General features: G+C 40.3%; 1 protein-coding gene across 14 annotated transcripts in view, besides 1 other annotated feature; it reads left to right on the top strand.

The window, feature by feature from the left end:
- Positions 1-13,120, top strand: part of ASH1L (ASH1 like histone lysine methyltransferase) — a 227,935-nt gene that overhangs the window by 36,032 nt on the left and 178,783 nt on the right. For 13 of the 14 annotated variants that reach the window (XM_047425248.1, XM_017001785.2, XM_006711450.4 and 10 more), the window contains one exon: positions 5,553-6,071. In XM_047425248.1, the coding sequence (XP_047281204.1) occupies positions 5,652-6,071 (420 nt within the window). In that variant the 5' untranslated portion in view covers positions 5,553-5,651. Of the gene's footprint in view, positions 1-3,904; positions 5,043-5,552; positions 6,072-13,120 lie in introns of those variants that run through there. The other variant, XM_047425241.1, reaches the window with a different exon arrangement.
- Positions 11,680-12,179: an enhancer, noted in NCBI's record as "H3K4me1 hESC enhancer chr1:155484783-155485282 (GRCh37/hg19 assembly coordinates)". NCBI's record gives its function as "activates a minimal SCP1, AML or CMV promoter by ChIP-STARR-seq in naive H9 embryonic stem cells {active_cell/tissue: H9 hESC(naive)}" and the evidence as "EXISTENCE:reporter gene assay evidence [ECO:0000049][PMID:30033119]".

The raw sequence follows: 13,120 nt of genomic DNA, 5'->3' as shown, positions 1-13,120 counted from the left end.
AGTGGCACCATCTTGGCTCACTGCAACCTCTGCCTCCCGGGTTCAAGCAATTCTCCTGCCTCAGCCTCCTGAGTAGCTGGGATTACAGGCATGCGCCACCACACCTGGCTAATTTCTTATATTTTTGGTAGAGATGGGGTTTCACCACGTTGGCCAAGCTGGTCTTGAGTATCTGACCTCAAGTGAGGTCTGCCCGCCTTGGCCTCCCAACTGCTGGGATTACAGGCGTGAGCCATCTTGCTCGGCTAAGAGGAATTTTCTTCCATGAGAGATATTATAGTATGTTTTTGTTTTCAGGCTTATTGGCATTATTCAGAGGAAATATGAGAAATGGATGATGTGAGAGAGAAAGGAGATAGTTGCCTAAATGAAGAGGTTGAAAGGAGAGATCGTTTATATATTGTGATAGGAAGGCAGTCAGACTATAGGAACAGACACAGGTAGGAAGGTAGGTAGATATATGGTGGGCACTTGTGGCACTTTTCTGTTTGTTACTGCTTCCTATCTGACTACTGCTGTGATCAGATAGGAAGCAAAATTAGGGACAATGAAGAAAGGGGAGATGGGATGAAATAGTTTTTTAGGAGAGTGGTAGAGGGAATAGATTAGGGAAGTGTATTGGCAGCACCAAGGGCTTACTCGGAGTTAGTGGTCAGGAATATAAAATGAGATCATTGAGTGTTATTGTTTTTCTTAGACTAGCTGTGATGGTACAGAGACAGAAGATGTATAAAATATGATTTGGAAGTATGTTAGTGCTGAAATTAGGATATTTTAGTAAATTTACAGAAAACCACCTATGTGAAATATAAACATATTAAGAAAAAACTTGTGTATAGTTTTCTCATTGTAACACAAGATAAAGTTATGTAAAACAGGAAAAAAGACATTTGCTACATGCCAATCATTGTATTAGAAGTTACAGGAACCTTAAAATTCACTCATTCATTTATTCAGCTATTTATTGGGTACTAAAATTTGTGCTATTCATTGTTTCAGCTGCTGGGGTTACAGTGGTGAGCAAGCCAGAAGAGGTTCCTATCCTCATGAAGCTTATATTTTAATTATACAGTTGGCCTTCCCTATCTGTGATTCCGCACCTGTGGATTCAACCAACTGCGGATGAAAAATATTAGAAAAAATTAAAAATAACAATACAATAATAAAAAATTATACAAAATTTTAAAGTACAGTTTAATAACTATTTATATATCATTTACATTATGTTAGGTATTATAAGTAATCCAGAGATGATTTCAAGTATACAGGAGCATGTGTATAGGCTGTATGCAAATACCATACCATTTTATATAAGTGACTTGAGCATCGTCAGATTTTGGTATCTGAGGGGGTGGGATGGGAGGTGGGAGGACTTAATCTGTTGAGGGGTATAGCTGACAAATACAGAACAAGAAAAAAGTTAATTGCCCTAATTGTGATCTTATATGGATCATAAATATTCAGGGATGGATCAGGTCAGTGCAAGCTTAAATATAGGTCTGAGAACATAGGTCTAGAATCCATTACCCAAATGTTGGTGCCGTAAGTTTTTTTCTTTTTAAAAAAATTCCCTGCAAGTGTTACACGTTTTTCTTTTTTCTTATTTTTCTTCTTCTTCTTTTTTTTTTTTTGGCTTTTAGAAATGTAGATTGGGTGAACTGGCACAGTGGTGTTTGGGAGTAGTAGCATCCTTTACTAACTTAATCAAGCCCATTAATACTTCTGCATTGTAATTTATCATTATTCATGGAAATTAGGGTAATTAAGACTAAAATGGGTCCGTGTCAAGTTTTATCACTAGGTTTTGAAAAAACTTGGATTTCAGAGTTTTTTGGACTTCAGGATTGTGAGCCCATCATGGAGAAGATAGGACTTTGTACTTTTTATTTTTTGTTTTAGAGTTTATTTTTTTAATTTACTTTTTGAGATAGGGTCTCGCTCTGTTGCCCGGGCTGGAGTCCAGTGGCATGAACATGGCTCACTGCAGCCTCGATTTCCTAGGCTCCAGCCATCTTCTTGCCTCATCCTCCCGAGTAGCTGGGACTATAGGTGTGCACCACCATGCTGGGCTAATTTTTTATTTTTTGTAGAGAGAGGGTCTTGCTGTGTTTGCTAGACTGGTCTCAAACTCTTAAGCTCAAGTGATCTTCCTGCCTTAGCCTTCCAAAGTGCCAGTAATACAGGCGTGAGCCACCGTGCCCAGGCAGGATTTGAACTTTTAAAATTATTATTTATTTTTAAAAAAACATTTGGGTTATTTTAATTACTTTTTATACACAGCATTTTATTATTTATTTTTTCTCCCTTCCCTAATTATGTATTTGTTTTTTTGAGACAGGGTCTTGTTCTGTTGCCCAAGCTAGAGTGTAGTGGTACAATCACGGCTCAGTGTAACCTCAACTTCCTGGGCTCAAACCATCTTCCCACCTCGGCCTCTTGAGTGGCTGGGATTATAGGCACATGACACCACACACCTGGCTAATTTTTTATTTTTTATTTTTGTAGAGATGAGGTCTCACTGTGTTGTCCATACTGGCTTTGAACTCCTGGGCTAAAGCGATCCTCCCACTTTAGTCTCCCAAAGTGCTGGGATTGTAGGTGCGAGCTACTGTGCACAGCTAACTTTGTACTTTTTTTTTTTTTTTTTTTGAGACGGAGTCTTGCTTTGTTGCCCAGGCTGGAGTGCAGTGGCACAATCTCGGCTCACTGCAAGCTCTGCCTCCCAGATTCACGCCATTCTCCTGCCTCAGCCTTCCGAGTAGCTAGGACTACAGGCACCCGCCACCACGCCTGGCTAATTTTTGTATTTTTTTTTAAAAGATGGGGTTTCACCGAGTTAGCTAGGATGGTCTCGATCTCCTGACCTCCTGATCCGCCCCGTCAGCCTCCCAAAGTGCTGGGATTATAGGCATGAGCCACCATGCTCAGCCTACTTTGTATGTTTAAAGGGAGAGTGTGTATGTTTATATGACACATAAGCAGAAATGAACATGATTTGTTAGGGACAGTAAAGAAAACTGAATTGACTAAATGATAGTGGGTGTGTGTTGGGAAGTAAAGATAAGTTTGAATAGTTAGAGGAGAGTGAGGTTATTAAAAGCCTTGAATGCCATTGTGAAATGTTAATACATGAAATGGTAGACAAGAATCATCAGAGTGAAATGATTGGAAGATTAGTTTTCCAGCTGTTTATATGATTGAATGGAGCAATAACAAGCTAAGGAGTTACCCAATCGGCCAAAATTTGTTGAGTACTTATAAACACTGCTGCTGCTCCTACTACTACTAAATTATTGGCACCTTTTTTTTTCTTGCTCTGTCACCTGGCCTGGAGTGCAATAGCATGATCTTGGCTCACTGCAACCTCCGCCTGCCAGGTTCAAGTGATTCTCATGCCTCAGCCTCCTGAGTAGTTGGAATTACAGGCACCTGCCACCACACTCAGCTGATTTTTGTACTTTTAGTAGAGACGGGTTTCGACATGTTGACCAGGCTAGACTCGAACTGGTGACCTCAAGTGATGCACCTGCCTTGGCCCCCGCAAGGTGCTGAGAGTACAGGCATGAGACACCATACCCGGCCAGTACCTTTTATTGAGCCCTCGCTATGTGCCAGTCATTGGGCGAGGTATTTTACTTACATTCCTTGTAGAAGTCATAAGACAACTATTTTTTCCCTTGAGACAGGGTCTTGCCCTGTTGCCCAGGTTGGAGTGCAGTGGCTTGATCACAGCTCACTGCAGCCTCGACCTTCAAGGTTCAAGTGATCTCCCACCTCAGTCTCCTGAGAGCTGGGACTACAGGTGTGTGCCATCACACCCTGCTAATTTTTGTACTTTTTTAGAGACAGGATTTTGCCATGTTGCCCAGTCTGGTCTCAAACTCCTGGGCTCAAAGAGTCCACCCACCTCAGTCCCTGAAAGTGCTGGGATTATAGGTGTGAGCCACCATGCCTGGCCAGGAATCTTACTCTCTTGTTGTAATGAAAAGTCTCAGGGCACATCGTTTAAAATATTCTACTTCATAAATGGAACTTTCTAAGGGATAAGATGTTCTCCGTTTTCCAGATACTAGTTCTAGATCTTGACTCAGACATATGTTTGACATGAAGACTAGTCTGTCAGTCTTCAAGAATACTGACTTGTTTTGTTTTGGTTTTATTAATATATTCACTAGTCTCTGGCTGGGCACGGTGGCTCACACCTGTAATCCCAGCACTTTGGGAGGCTAAGGCAGGCGGATCACCTGAGGTCAGGCGTTCAAGACCAGCCTGGCCAACATGGTGAAACCCTGTCTCTACTAAAAATACAAAAATTAGCCGGGTGAGTATGGTGGCTTGTGCCTGTAATGCCAGCTACTCGGGAAGCTGAGGCAGGAGAATCTCTTGAACCCAGGAGACGCAGGTTGCAGTGAGCTGAGATCGCGCCACTGCACTCCAGCCTGGGCGACAGAGCGAGACTCCATCTCAAAAAAAAAAAAAAAAAATTCACTAATCTCCCTAATGATTATATGGTAATCTGGTTTCCTGAGGATCTTTATATTTAAAATGGGAGTGCTTTGTGGAGATTCTGAGATTAGGTGTATCACCTATTGTAAAATAATAAATTAGCACGCTAGTTTTAAAACATTTTGTGTATTTGGGGAATTGACACATGCCTACTATTTGCTATTAGGAAAACTTGTAAAAATAAATTGCTGATTTTTAAGGTTCTTATAACAACAGTGATTATTTGTATAAATATTTGCTTAATGTTTGCCCTTCTCACTAGAGTATAAACCTTAAAATTTAGGAACTGGGTTCATTTTGTTGAATACTGTATTTTCAGAGTGTAGCATGATGCCTGGCATATGATAGATGTTTGGAAATATTTTTTGAATGGACAAGTGAATGATTCAGAGTTGAATTGTATCCTAACAACAAAGATAATATCTGCATAAGTTCCTGCATCAGAGAGTCCTAACCTCAAAAAGCCTGATAATCTCTTCTAAAAGTTTGGAATACTGAAACCAGCCTAAGAGATAATTTAAAAAGAATTTTTATAGGTACATAGCGTGTTTAAATATTTATGGGGTGAACGTGATATGTTGATGCAGGCATACAATGTGTAATAATCACATAGTCAATGGAGTATCAAAAAAAGATGATTTTTTACCTTCAATAAAACTGTAGGAAATAAAAGTGTACTTCAGCAGAAGAGTGGGGAATATATTCTTTTAAAACTGATGAGTGCGAAAATATATGAAAGTTATTTTGATTTTAGGCAATGTTTGCTTGACTGTAAGTTTCAGAAGCTTCTTGGTGATTCTTAAATTTGCATTTGCACCATACCACTATGGCTTGTTTATGATATCTGTAGAATGATAAACTTATTCTGAATTTTAAATGTATTTATAACTAAATGGATTTACATCTATTTTGAATTAACATTTCGATCTAACTGTGATTTTTTTTTGGGTAGTTGTTGACCTCCTTGTCTTCCCCTATACCCATTACTTATGTTAATCAGTAGTTGCCTCTTTTCTGATAAATTTTTGTTATGATCTGTTCTGCAGAGAAAGATGCTGGTTTCGAGTTTTGGAGATCCTTGTTTTTTATGGAACACAGTTCTGTAAAATTTTCATAAGATTCCTTGGCAATAACATACGCTTGTGATGGACCCTAGAAATACTGCTATGTTAGGATTGGGTTCTGATTCCGAAGGTTTTTCAAGAAAGAGTCCTTCTGCCATCAGTACTGGCACATTGGTCAGTAAGAGAGAAGTAGAGCTAGAAAAAAACACAAAGGAGGAAGAGGACCTTCGCAAACGGAATCGAGAAAGAAACATCGAAGCTGGGAAAGATGATGGTTTGACTGATGCACAGCAACAGTTTTCAGTGAAAGAAACAAACTTTTCAGAGGGAAATTTAAAATTGAAAATTGGCCTCCAGGCTAAGAGAACTAAAAAACCTCCAAAGAACTTGGAGAACTATGTATGTCGACCTGCCATAAAAACAACTATTAAGCACCCAAGGAAAGCACTTAAAAGTGGAAAGATGACGGATGAAAAGAATGAACACTGTCCTTCAAAACGAGTAAGTAGAATTCCTAACAATATGTGGTTATTGACAATATTTTCATTTCCCTATTAATTTTTATCCTATATATGTATTTCCGGGAGTTTGATTTTAATCTATGTTATTTCCAGATAGTTTGTTTTTGTGAGCCTTAAAATAAGCCCCAAGGCTTGTCAAAGATGTAAGTTAATAGCATAACCATGTATGTATTTGTACTTGTAAAATTATTTTAAAATTTTATTTATTTATTTTTTTGAGATTAAGTTTTGCTCTTGTTGCCCAGGCTGGAGTGCAATGGTGTGATCTCGGCTCATGGCAACCTCTGCCTTCTGGGTTCAAGCAGTTCTCCTGCCTCAGCCTCCCGAGTACCTGGGATTACAGGCACCCACCACCACACCGAGCTAATTTTGTGTTTTTAGTAGAGACGGGGTTTCACCATGTTGGCCAGGCTGGTCTCAAACTCCTGACCTCAGGTGATCCGTCCACCTTAGCCTCCCAGAGTGCTGGGATTACAGGCATGAGCCACCACGCCTGGCCTATTTATGCAGTTTTTAAAGGCAAAACTCCAAAGTGCTGGGATTACAGGTGTAAGCCACTGTGTCTGACCGAAAAAAGAGAAATCTTTATTGAGATATGATTCATATACCATACAGTTTGCCCATTTAAATTCAGTGATTTTTAGGGTATTTCATTATTAGCTTTAAAAATTTATGTGAAATCATTTCTTTCTTTCTTTTTTTTTTTTTTTTTTTTTTTTTGAGATGGAGTCTTACTCTGTCGCCCAGACTGGAGTGCAGTGGTGCGATCTCGGCTCACCGCAACCTCCGCCTCCTGGGTTCAAGCGATTCTCCTATTCTCCTGCCTCAGCCCCCTGAGTAGCTGGGATTACAGGCGCCCACCACCGCACCCAGCTAATTTTTGTATTTTTAGTAGAGATGAGGTTTCACCATGTTGGCCAGGCTGGTCTCGAACTCCTGACTTCAGGTGATCCAGCCACCTCAGCCTCCCAAAGTACTGGGATTACAGGTGTGAGCCACTGTACCCAGCCAAAATAATTTACTTCTAAACCTTTTTCATTATCCCAAATTAAAACTCCATAACCATTAAATAATGTCTTCCATTTCTTCTGTCTGCAGCGACTGGTAATATCGAATGTACTTGCCGGGCGTGGTAGCTCACGCCTGTAATCCCAGCACTTTGGCATGCTGAGGCAGGTGGATCACCTGAGGACAGGAGTTTGAGAGCAGCGTGGCCAACATGATGAAACCCCGTCTCTACTAAAAATACAAAAAATTAGCCAACCATGATGGCAGGTGCCTGTAATCCCAGCCCTTGGGAGGCTGAGGCAGGAGAATCGCTTGAATCCAGGAGGCAGAGGTTGCAGTGAGCTCAGGTTGCGCCACTGCACTCCAGCCTGGGCAATGAAAGCGAAATTCCATCTCACCCCCCAAAAAATTCTAATGTACTTTTAGCAACTATAAATTTGCCTATCCTAGCTAACTCATATAGGTGTAATCATACAATATTTGTTATTTTGTGTCTGGCTTATTTCATTTACCAGAATGTCCTCAAGGTGCAACCATGTTGTAGCATGTGCCAAAACTTCATTCCTTTTCATGGCTGAATAATCCATTGTGTGGATATACCACTTTATTTTTATTTATTTATTTATTTATTTTTTGAGTTGGAGTTTCACTCTTGTTGCCCAGGCTGGAGTGCAATGGCGCGATCTCGGCTCACTGCAACCTCCGCCTCCAGGGTTCAAGCAATTCTCCTGCCTCAGCCTCTTGAGTAGCTGGGATTACAGGCGTGTGCCACCATTCCCGGCTAATTTTTGTATTTTTTAGTAGAGATGGGGTTTCTCCATGTTGGTCAGGCTGGTCTCAAACTCCTGTCCTCAGGTGATCCGCCCACCTCTGCTTCCCAAAGTGCTGGGATGACAGGCGTGAGCCACCACACCCAGCCACCATTTTATTTTTTATCCATTCATCTCTTGATGGAATCTTGGTTCACATCCACTATTTGGCTATTGTGAGTAATGCTACAGTGAATGTTGCCATACAGTTATCTATTCAAGTTCCTGCTTTGAATTTTTGGGTATTTACTTGGGAATAGAATTGCTGGGTCATACGGTAATTATTTATTTAGCGCTTTCAGGAACTGTACACTTTTACAGTGGCTATACTGTTTCATATCCCATCAGCAATGCATGAGTTTTTGATTTCTCTGAGTCTTCATGAGGTTTTCTTAATTTTTCTTCCCTCCCTCCCTCCCTCCATTCCTTCCTTCTTTTCTTTCTTCCTTCCTCTCCCCGTCTCCCCTCTACCTCTCCTGCTCCCTGTCTCTGCCTCTCCCCCTCTCTTCCCTCCCCTTCCTTTTGTTTTCTTCCTTCCCTTCTCTCTCTTTCCTTCCTCCCACCGCCCCCCCACCGCCCCCGTTCTCAAGCTGTAGCACATTGTGGTTTTTGATTTGCATTTTCTTAACAACTAATGATGTTGAACAATTTTTCATGTGCTTATTGGCCATTTGTGTATCTTCTTTGAAGAAATGTTTGTTCAAATTATTTGACTACTTTTGAATTGTGTTTTGTTGTTGAATTGTCCAGGTTCTTTATATAATCTGTATATAGGATTTTAAAAATATTTTCTCTCATTCTGTGGATAGTCTTTTAATTTCCTTTTGTGTCCTCTGATGCAAAAAAAAGTTTTCAATTTTGATGAAAACCAGGTCCAGTTTATTTTTTCCTTTATTACCTGTATTATTAGTGTCATAGCCTAGAAATCACTGCCAAATCCAATGTTGTGAAAGTCTTCCCCCTATGTTTTCCTGAGGGTTTTATCGTTTTAGCTCTTATGTTTAGATCTGTGATCCGTTTTGTATTTAAGTTTTGTATATGGTTTAAAGTAAGGGTCCAGCTTCATTCCTTTACATGATATTCAGTTTTCTCAGCATCGTTTCTTGAAGAGAGTATCTTTTCTTCATTGAATGGTTTTGGCAACTTTGTTAAAGAAATTATTGGGCCGGGCGTGGTGGCTCACGCCTGTAATCCCAGCACTTTGGGAGGCCGAGGCGGGCGGATCACGAGGTCAGGAGATCGAGACCATCCCGGCTAAAACGGTGAAACCCTGTCTCTACTAAAAATACAAAAAATTAGCCGGGCGTAGTGGCGGGCACCTGTAGTCCCAGCTACTTGGGAGGCTGAGGCAGGAGAATGGCGTGAACCCGGGAGGCGGAGCTTGCAGTGAGCCGAGATCCCGCCACTGCACTCCAGCCTGGGCGACAGAGCGAGACTCCGTCTCAAAAAAAAAAAAAAAAAAAAAAAAAGAAATTATTGGCCATATATGTGAGAGTTTATTTTAGGACTCTTCCTTTCCATTCCATTGGTCCATATGTCTGTCTTTCTGCAAGTACCACACTGTTTTCATTACTGTAGCTTTGTAGTAAGTTGTTTGTTTGTTTGTTTGTTTGTTTGTTTTAGATGGAGTCTTACTCTGTCGCCTAGGCTGGAGTACAGTGGCATGATCTCGGCTTGAGACCGCAGCCTCTGCCTCCTGGGTTCAAGTGATTCTCCTGCCTCCTGCCTCAGCCTCCCTCCCAAGTAGCTGAGATTACAGGTGCCTGCTACCACGCCCGGCTAGTTTTTGTACTTTTAGTAGAGACAGGGTTTCACCATGTTGGCCAGGCTGGTCTCAAACTCCTGAGCTCAAATGATCTGCCTGCCTCGGCCTCCCATAATGCTGGGATTACAGGTGTGAGCCACCGTGCCCTTCCTGTTTGTTTTTAAAGAGAGAGGGTCTTGCTCCGTCATCCAGGCTACGCTACTCACTGCAGCCTCAAACTCCTGGGCTCAAGTGATCCTCCTGCCTTGGTCTCCCAAAGTGATGGGATTATAAGCATGAGCCATCATGGCTGGCCTGTAGTAAGTTGAAGTCAGAAAGTGTGAGTCCTCCAACTTTGTTATTTTTCAAAATTGTTTTGGCTATTTGGGGTTCCTTGAGATTCCATATGGATTTTAGGATGGGGTTTTCTGTTTCTTTAAACAATAATGTTGGGATTTTGATAGAAATTACATTGAATCTACAGATCACTTTAGGTAGTGTTGTCATCTTAATATGAAGTCTTGAAATCCAGGAATGTGGGATGTCTTTTGTTTATTTAAGATTTCCTTAATTTCTTTCAGCAATATTTTATAAAATTTGTGGTGTTCAAGCCTTTCACCTCCTTAAATTTATTCCTGTGTATTTTATTTTTTGATGCTATTGCAACCAGAATTGTTTTAAATTTACTTTTCAGATTGCTCATTGTAAATATATAGAAATACAACTAGTTTTTTTAATTATTAATTTTAATTTTTTTTTAGAGACAGGGTCTTGCTGCCCATGCTGGAGGGGCAGTGGCATTGCTCATTGTAGCCCCAAACTCCTGGACTCAAGCAATCTTCCTGCCTTAGCCTCCTTTTGTTTATTTTAATAAAAAAAAATTATTTTTGTAGAGATGGGGTCTTGCTGTTTTGCCCAAGCTGGTCTTGAACTTCTGACCTCAATGATTCTCCTTCCTTGGCCTCCCAAAGTGATGGGATTACAGGTGTAAGCCACTGTGTTGGCCACAACTGATTTTGGCATGTAGGTTTTGTATCCTGCAACTTTGCTGAATTCATTTATTAGCTTGAACAATTTGTTGATGTTTTAGGGTTTTCTACATATAAAACTGTGTCGTCTGCCAACAGAGATAATTCAGTATTTTAATATATGCCTCAGGTATTTCTTACATTCCAGCAGATTTGGGAAACACTAGGTTTACTTACTGTGAAATGAGAGTAGGTTATTTTCTGTTCAGTGAGTTAGCTACTGAAAATAGTGTTCTTTTGTCTACTGAAATATTATATATAATTTTTTTCATATTTTTAAAATTATAAACTCCCAATGGCCATTACTGAATAGGTTACATACAGTGTTTTGAATGTGGTCAAGCAACCTCTTTAGTGGTCCTTACCGGTAGAAGAACTTAAACAACTAGTATACTGAAAGTAGTAGTTGCTGGTACTATAGCAGGAAGACAAAAGAAGAGGAAAACAGAACGATAGAAGGCAGTGTAAGAAACAAGAGGAAAGGATGATGATAAAGTGCCATCAGGCTACCTCAAAGGATAAAGTTTTCTGTCCATAATCCATGCTAGTATAGTATGTAGGCTAATCTCCGAGTTATATTGATATATATGTATATATAGATTGGTGCAAAAGTAATTGCAGTTTTGGGCCATGCATTTTTTTTTTTTTTTTTTTTTTTAAGGCAGAGTCTCCTTTTGTTGCCTAGGCTGGAGTGGAGTGCAGTGGCTTGATCTCGGCTCACTGCAGCCTCCGCCTCCTGGGTTAAGGCAATTCTCTTGCCTCAGCCTCCTGAGTAGCTGGGATTACAGGTGCTTGCCACCATACCTGGCTAATTTTTGTATTTTTAGTAGAGATGAGGTTTCACCATGTTGGCCAGGATGGTCTCGAATTCCTGACCTCAGGTGATTCGCCTGCCTCAGTCTTCCAAAGTGCTGGGATTATAGGAGTGAGTCCCTGTGTCCGGCCATTGACCATGAATTTTAAATCATCATAACTAGGCTCAAACACATCTTTATTAATCAAAATAGGAACCATTACAATAAAAGTTTGTGCCAAAAAGAAATCAGTTTGTTTAATCCTGTAGCATAAAAATCTGTGCTTCTGGATTCAACAAACTCTTGGGAAGGATTTTACGCATCCTGCTGGTTGTGGAAGCTGTTTCCCTGCAAAAAATTGTTGAGATGCTTGAAGAAGTGGTAGCTGGTTGACGAGAGGTCGGTTGAATATGTCAGGTGAGGCAAAACTTAGTAGTCCAATTCGTCCAACTTTTGAAGCATTGATTGTGTGACATGTAGTCAGGCGTTGTCCTGGAGAAGAATTGGGCTCTTTTTGTTGATCAGTGCTGGCGGCAGGCATTGCAGTTTTTGGTACATCTCATCAATTTGCTGAGCATACGTCTCAGGTGTAATGGTTTCGCTGGCATTTGGAAAGGTATAGTGGATCAGACTGGCAGCAGACCACCAAACGGTGACCATGACCTTTTTTGGTGCAAGTTTGGCTTTGAAAAGTGCTTTGGAGCTTCTTCTGGGTCCAACCACTGATCTGGTTGTTGCCGGTTGTGATATAAAATCCACTTTTTGTCACACATCACAGTCTGAGAAATTTTTCCTTGTTGGTGTGTAAAATGCCGAATGACTGTAGAATGGTTGAAGTTGCCGAGTTCCTCGGCAACTTCTCGTGTAGTTAAAAGAGGATCAGTTTCGATGATTGCTCTCAGTTGTTGTGAGCTTCTGACAGCCAGCCACTGTGCTTCTTATCTTCAAGGCTCTTACCTCCTTTGCAAAACTTCCTGAACCACCGCTGTACTGTACATTCATTAGCAGTTCCTGGGCCAAATGCGTTGTTGATGTTGCAAATCGTCTCCACTGCTTTATGACCCATTTTAAACCCAAATAAGAAGATCGCTTGAATTTGCTTTTAGTCTAACATTTCCATAGTCTAAAATAAATATAAATATAAATATAAAATAAACAGCAAGTAATCATTAGCAAAAAAACATAAAGTGAGAAATGCGCATTAAAATGATATATAACATAACCACATTTAAGAACGTATTCCAATATCAAGTGGCAAATTTCAACAGTGCAAAAACTGTAGTTACTTTTACACCAGTATTACCTGTTTTATTTATAGTTTATAACAATTATATAGTTTTAAAAAATAAATGTGTGTATATGTATGTATATCCGTATATATAAACTGTGGTAGGCTGCATATAACCTGAACTTTTTCCATTTTAACCATTTGTAAGTGTATAATTTTGTGGCATTAGGTAGATGCACTTTTTGTGCGACCATGCCCACCCACCAGCTCTGGATCTTTTTTTGACATTTTCCAGCTGACACTCTATTAACTCTTCATTCTCCCTCCTGCAGCCCCTAGCGAAACCACTATTCTACTTTCTGTCTTTGAATTTGACTACTGTAATTACCACATATAAGTAGAATCATACAATATTTGT

This window comes from Homo sapiens, chromosome 1 (assembly GCF_000001405.40).
Source record: "Homo sapiens chromosome 1, GRCh38.p14 Primary Assembly".
Classification (NCBI taxonomy): domain Eukaryota; kingdom Metazoa; phylum Chordata; class Mammalia; order Primates; family Hominidae; genus Homo; species Homo sapiens.
This window is presented reverse-complemented; position numbering and strand designations above follow the sequence as displayed.